The sequence below is a fragment of the Homo sapiens genome, chromosome 3 (genome assembly GCF_000001405.40).
Source record: "Homo sapiens chromosome 3, GRCh38.p14 Primary Assembly".
Classification (NCBI taxonomy): Eukaryota; Metazoa; Chordata; class Mammalia; order Primates; family Hominidae; genus Homo; species Homo sapiens.
The window spans coordinates 187928232-187935460 of NC_000003.12; the positions used below are offsets into that span (position 1 = coordinate 187928232).

Here is a 7229-nt window from a genome sequence, read left to right on the forward strand (position 1 = left end):
TATGTGACATTGGTGAGGTTTTGAACTTCTTTGAGCTTTAGTTTTTTCTGCTATTAAAAATGATGACAATAATAATAATTTCATGGATTTATTGGTCATTAAACAAGATAGTGCTTAGCATAGTAGCTCCATATGATAAATATTCTATGTTTGTACTAGTATATTCCAAAGCCAAATTCATTTACTTAATAAACATTTTGCAGGGATGCATTTTATAGGTGTTTTGTATTGTACATTGTCTGCAGTATTACGCACTATGTGGGTACAAAGTGCCTCAGACATGACTCTTGACCTGCCCTTAGAAGGTTCATAGTCTATCAGAATGGGATATAAGACATGGACACCAATAAGTTTATAATACAGAACAAGCTATGGTCAGCTAGTTAAAAACAAACAGCCTGGGAAATGAAGAAAAGAGAGGATTTATGGAGGTGATGGCATTTGATTCATATATTACAGAATAGACTGGATATACAGAGATGTCCAGAAAAAGATTTCCCAAGAACAGAGAGTAAGGGAAGCAAAGACAAAGACAAAGGAACAGGAAGGAACAAACGGTACAAGGTTCAGTGGAACAGAATATGAAAAGTGACCCTGAGGAGACTGATGGACAGGCAGGCAACCTCCAGGTCATGTTCACCTTGAATGCTGAGGAATTTGGTTTATGTTTATGTAGGTAACGATGAGCCTGATAAGTGACACAAATCATGTTTTTCAATTACCTATCGTATTATTTTAAATATTATACTTGTTCGCTGAATAAATTTTGATGGTAACTGTTCTTTTCCCCTTTAAAAGAAATAGTTAAGAGTTAACTACATAGTGAAATACAGTTTTAAACTAAGTAAATTTCCCCTGTGGAAAAAATCTTATGCTCAGGGTTAGTAGGTGGCATTATAATTCCCAGTTGAAAACTATGTCATTGTTTAAAGGTTTTGATAAATATTAGCAAGGCTCAGACCAGAGGCAGTATTTCATGAGTTTTCAATTGTCTGCCACGTCTCTCGTGCATTATGCTTCACACACAAAAAAGTCAGATGACCTACATCTTCCTCTGCTCCAGTCTGAAGCTGCTATATATAGGCTTTGGTTATGAATGTTTTTTCCTACGAAAAGGTCAGACCTTGCACATGTACCATCAATGCATAGCTCTGTGTATTAAAGAGCAGACGGGCAAGTTTGTAAACATCATTGAAATATTACTGATATGGGGAAAGCTTGGCAGTTTGGTGAAAAACTAGTGGCCTCCAAACTCTCTTTGAGAGAAGACAGGGAAACCTCTCTCTTGTGATTACAGAAGCACTTTCCTTCTGGCTAAAGCAACATGTCACTGTCAGCCCACATGTACAGAAGCAGGCTGGGACACTCCCAGCCCCAGATCTCTCGTACATGTGGGTGCACACAGTTGCCCCTATCAGAGAGACACTAGGGTGCGTTAACTCCTCCTTCCCACTTCAAACCCCCATGGAACATCTGGAGGTGGAGCTGGGGAAGGTACCTTGGCCAGATAGATGCAAACACAATTTGGGGTTTCCGTTTGTACACAGGGTGCAGCAGCCACCCCTGGCCAACATCGAAACACAAGAGAAAATGTGGGGAGAGTTGAACTCTTACTTTTAAGCCAAAAGGTCATAGGTTCAAATACCCTTCTGATGTCAGCTGCTCCCTAGGGCTAACCCTTGAGTCTGAATGCTCTGAAAAGATTGGCTCCAGGAAAGAGGCCTGATGATTCAATTTGGATCTTTTCTCAACAAGGCCAAGTTCTTTCCCAGAATGAAATTATTTAATAACTATGTGAAACCGATGTGATATTCACTTGTTTAATAAACAAGAAATTAAAGTCCAAAGAGTTAAAGTGACTTTGCCCAAGTTCACTGGACAGTAGAGGAGATGAGCAGGCTTCATGATCGTGTCATCTTCCCATGAGGTCTGTCTCCTGTGGACTCAACCAGATATTCTTGTCATGTGCCCCAGGAACCAGCACTGAGATGGGCAGTGTTGCCATAGAAAACAATAGCTGGCATTGTGGGTGTCTTCAATTCGTTCATATCTACCTGTTAAGACAAGCCTCATAGAGGGGACATTACAAAATGGGAATCTCCAGGTTATAGTAAGTAAAGTATTATTAGGCTGAAGGTCAGAAAGAATCTGGCTCTGGTTTTAGATCAGATGTTACTTATTCATTTACTCACACATTTATTCATTCAATAAATACTCATTGAGAGTCTGTCAGGCCTCATTCTAAGCACTGAGAATATAGTGTTGTGAATAAAAAGAGATATAGTCCTGACCTCATGGAGCATAGACAGACTGGTGGCCTCCTATGTGTACATTGCAGAGCATATCTCTCTACATATATGTATAATATATAGCAATTATGTGTGTGTGTGTGTGTATATATATGTGTATATATATATATAGCTTACCCCTTTATCTGCCCCCTACCATGTAAGCCCATCACAGCAAGAGCTGTGTTTACTCCATTTGTGAATCTCGTTTCTTGGCACCAAGTGGGTACTGATTGAAAAATGATCTGTAAGGTTTCCTCAGTCATTCATTGAAAAGAACAAAGGATGCTTAATAAGAATTACAAGTGATTTTCATGACTTCACCTATTTCTTTACTAACATGGTTACTACTGAAGTCTTGTTCTTGGGCTCCACTGAGAAGGCCACAGATGCAGTAACTCCTTCATATCTTCCACCTCTAACATCTTGTGCCACCTGCCTGGCTGGGCCTCTTTTTCCTAATCTAGCTAAGTCTGCGCCTTCTGAGGGTGCTTGTCTCATCTCCCAGTCCTGAGCCTCCCTGGTCCATCCCCTGGTGATCCCCACAGAGTTTTCTCGCTGACAGCAAAGAAAGGTTTGGGGCCTTTGGAGATTGCCAATATGGTGACACTGAGGCAGTGAAATTCCTAGATTTGAATAATGTAATGACTGAGCATTTGTAGTTAAATAAGAAAGAAAAGAAAAACCTCATTGTGGTGATAAAAGCTATCCAAGAAAAGCAGGCTGCTTCACTGGGCAAGGAATTCCCCATGGCTGGAGGAGTTTCCCAGAAGCCAGGCCACCACCACAATGAAGCAAAGAAGTCAAGCGTGGGACGGAGGAGGGTCACTCCTGAGGTTCCCGTTAACTTCATCTTCTATGGCCACATCTCCATTCTTCATCGTTTTGAGAATTAATGATGCACCAAATCCCAGAAATTTCTTCCCCTTTTTTCCCAGATGAGTCTAAGTTGAAAAATTAACCTTTATTTATCTTTACCAATCCACAGACTAGAGTAACTGTGCTGATCCCAGATAAACGTCCTTCTCCTATTTCATTAGTTTAAGTCTCTTAAAATTCTCTTTTTGATATACTATTTACCTGATCCAAAATCCTTCACAGTTGCCCACCCTCTCCAGGCTAACACCCTGTCACTTTAGCCTGGCACTCTGGACCCTCCACCATCAGGCTCCAGAACATCACCTTTTCAGCCTCACCTTGAACTGCTCTTTATCCACCCGCTTGGTTCTCTACTCTGTTAAATGCACGGCCACTGGAACACTCCTCCTCTTTTCCATTTCCACATTCTTCTTTACATTATTCCAGTGCCAGTCATATTTGTAGTATCTTATTTCCTTATTCTTTGGAGTATTTTCTTATTTGCTTATGCTTCTGGAGAGCATGGACTGTCTTCATCATTACACAGCCAGTGCCCAGTCTGGCACTCAAGCCATGTATTGATTGGAATCAAATTGAATTACAAACATTTTTTTTTTCAATGAGGGAGGCAGAAGAGCATATTGGTTAAGAGCACAAATTTTGTAGCCAGACTTCCTCGGTGTGAGTCCAAACTTTACTATTTACCAACGAGGTGGCCTTGATCAAGTTACTTAAACTTTTTGGAATTCAGTTTCCTCATCTGTAGAATGGGAATAATAATAGTCCCTGCCTGACGTTATGAGTTGACTTTTATAAAGTGCTTACTTCCTTGACAGGCAGGCACACAGCTCTCCACTTACGTAGCACCTATTCATTCTTCAAGGTGCCCCTCTATTTCTCCCTCCTCCACAGATATTAATTCTATTTTCCATGTATAAAGCACTTTAGAGTTTACGAAGACCTTTCATATGTGTTTTCACATTTAATCATCACGGTGGCATGGGAGGTAGGTGTTGCTGTCCCCGGAGAGTTTTGGTGACACAGGTAAAGCAGGGGGAGGGCAGAGGGACAGGAGCCCAGAGACTGGTTTTCTATCCAGAGTATGACCAGCTTCAACGTTTTTCCTCCATTCTGAACCAGTGGGATGGTACAGCACTGTCCAGCATGTCACCAGGTAAGCCTCATTTCTGCCTTAAGGGTCCCCTATCGTTGCACCAAAACCCAAAGCCAGTGCTGTTGTTCTTGCTGTACTCGAGCATGTTATTTGCATTTCCAGACCAGGCTTAGTCTCATAGCCTTCTCAGGTGAGGAGGGACTTACTGGTTCATGTGCTCTCTGGAGGCTCTGCGGTTTCATTTCACCTGCTGCAGATTGTTCTGTGACCTTTCCTCCATCGCTGGACGCAAACCTTTCTCATTGCGAGATATTAGGTAACTGCAGAACAGAACATCCAAGCTAGAAGGAATTTTGGAGATCATTAAGTCCAATTCCAAAACCATCTTAAGGAGGAATGAACACTGAGTTCTAGGAAAATAAACTACTTGCCCAGAGACTTTGCTAATTTATGTGCTCCTCAGGGCAGGGCCATGTTCAAGCAATGAAGAAATAAGGATCAGGCACTTGCTTTCAAAAAGCACACCGTCCGGTAAACTACACCCTACTCATCTTAACATCTCAAATGTCTAACCCAGGGCCTAACACACATAGTAGATGCTCCATAGATGGTTCCCGATTAAGTAAACAAGTGAATGAATTAATGAATGTCACCTTGATAGTCACCTGCTGAGCCGGTGCCAAACCTTGAACTTAGGATTTCTATGCTGGGCTCCCACTGCTCATACTCTCTGCCTCCCCCATTCAGACTCATAGTAAGGTTCGAGAAACAGCCAATAAACATGACAAAAATGCATGCAAATATTCAATACCCATCATGTTTATTCACGATTCACAAGTGTATTCCTAGTCTTCTTCGATAAGACTCTCTCTCTATCATGATGTGACAGAAGCTAAGCAGAGAAACAGAGCTTCCAGCTGAAGAACAGCACTGACAGAGCCAGGAACTGCCTCTTGGAATGCCAGTACTGCCTCAAGCCGAAAATGTTCCCATGTCCTTGCTCTTCAAATAGGAACCAGCATATGACACATATGGGCTCATGATGGATATTTTAACATGTTTCAAATTTTGCCTGATTTTCACTCATTCCATAGAATGTCTAAGCTAGAAAATGCCTTGGAGATCATCAGGCTTAATAATTCTTTCATGGGACAGATAGAAATCCGAGAGTCAGAGGGGGAACGTGAGTGGTTCATGGTCACACAACCTGTCAGTGGCTCAGATTGACCCCAAACCCAGGATTCCTAGATTCCACCTAAGAGATTCTTTGTGTGCCCCATACTGCTGGATTCAGCATTAAGCCAGCAGACCAGTCAAGTGTAAGCTTCTTGAGAGCACAGGCTGTATCAATGGCTTATCTTTCTATCTCAGATTTCTAGCTCAGTGGCTTGCATGTCACAGAAACTCCTTCTCTACCCAGCACTGTGGAGTTCTCAGAGCTTTCATGTTCACCATGAGCCCCACTTTACATATGAGTGAGCCTCATGTTGCTCAAATGGACAAAGGGCTCACGGCTTCAGAAAAATGGTAGCAGAACTTGAACCCTGATCATTGGACAGCTAATTCATGCCCTTTTTCTGTCCTACGTAACCACCCAATAACTTTGATTACCAAGTGAGTAAATGATTACAGGATGAATGGTTGAAAGACTGACAAACATAGAAATCAATCACTCTCTCTTGAAAAACAGATTTTAAAAAACAAATAACTCGGCCGGGCGCGGTGGCTCACACCTGTAATCCCAGCACTTTGGGATGCCGAGGTGGGCGAATCATGAGGTCAGGAGATCGAGACTATCCTGACTAACATGGTGAAACCCCATCTCTACTAAAAAATACAAAAAAGTTAGCTGGGCGTGGTGTTGGGCGCCTGTAGTCCCAGCTACTGGGGAGGCTGAGGCAGGAGAATGGCATGAACCCAGGAGGCGGAGCTTGCAGTGAGCTGAGATTGCGCCACTGCACTCCAGCCTGGGGGACAGAGCGAGACTCCATCTCAAAAAAAATGAATAAATAAAAATAAAATAAATAAATAATTCTAGACCCTCATTCAGTAAAAAGTCTTTACTTGGACCCCCCGGTGGCCTGCTTTGGCTCTCTCACCTTGAATTTCCCTTCATTTGACACCAACATGTGTGTTTAGGGAAAAGGAAAAGCTAACAGCACTTAACCTCTGTGTTCCTTGAGGGGTCAATTTTTCTGATGTTAATCCTGTCCAATTTGGGTGATTTTAAAAAGTACAAAGAAAGACATTTAAGCCATGCAAATTCCTCCTCCCAGAGATTGCCAGTAGTTAACATTTTGGTGAATATCCATCATCTTTTTAAAATCTTTTTTCTAAAGCTTATAAATAAATTTTTAATGGATTTGCACTGAAAAACTGCTTAGTAATTTGTTTTTGTTGCTTAATAATAAATCACAAATATCTAATTAGGTCGCAAGTTGATCAAGTGGGAGAATGAGCATATTTTAACAATGTTTGATCAGTTGAGTAACACACAGGTGATGAGATTCCCAAACATTGCTTTCCATTGACTGTTTTAAGGACCCAGAGAAGCCATATTACCAGTCCTTGCCCGGGCTCTTCCGCTTCTAACATGACCATGGCTGCAACATGGTTAAGGTATCAGTAATTATAATAGCTCGGAATAACAGCTTACATTTTGCTAACCTCTCTTATAACACACACACACACACACACACACACACACACAGAGTAACATGTCAACCATTGTGATCAATAGGCAGAGAAGGAAACCTCACATATCTCATGTTCCTTGCACAACCCTGGAAGAGAAGCAGGTTCATGTCATTATTTTAAAGATGAAAAACTTGAGGATCAGGGAGATCATGTGACAGGCCTGCCTTTTGGGTTTTTGTTTCTTTGTTTGTTTGTTCTTTTAGTAACATCTTTAGAAAGAAAATAAAGAAAAATGAACCAAAGTTCAAAGAGGAGTTCTTATGATTGGAGAT

At 41.5% G+C, this 7229-nt stretch overlaps 1 long non-coding RNA gene across 1 annotated transcript, besides 1 other annotated feature; it reads right to left on the reverse strand.

Annotated features, from left to right (window-relative positions):
• Window positions 1–3237: 3237 nt before the first annotated feature.
• Window positions 3238–4994, reverse strand: LOC105374265 (uncharacterized). The gene is made up of 2 exons (XR_924814.1): window positions 4914–4994; window positions 3238–4601 (listed from the first exon to the last, which is right to left on the reverse strand). It is a non-coding gene; the product is annotated as an uncharacterized LOC105374265 (long non-coding RNA).
• Window positions 4328–4377: an enhancer, noted in NCBI's record as "active region_20973". NCBI's record gives its function as "activates an Ori minimal core promoter by ATAC-STARR-seq in GM12878 lymphoblastoid cells {active_cell/tissue: GM12878}" and the evidence as "EXISTENCE:reporter gene assay evidence [ECO:0000049][PMID:35858748]".
• Window positions 4995–7229: the final 2235 nt, after the last annotated feature.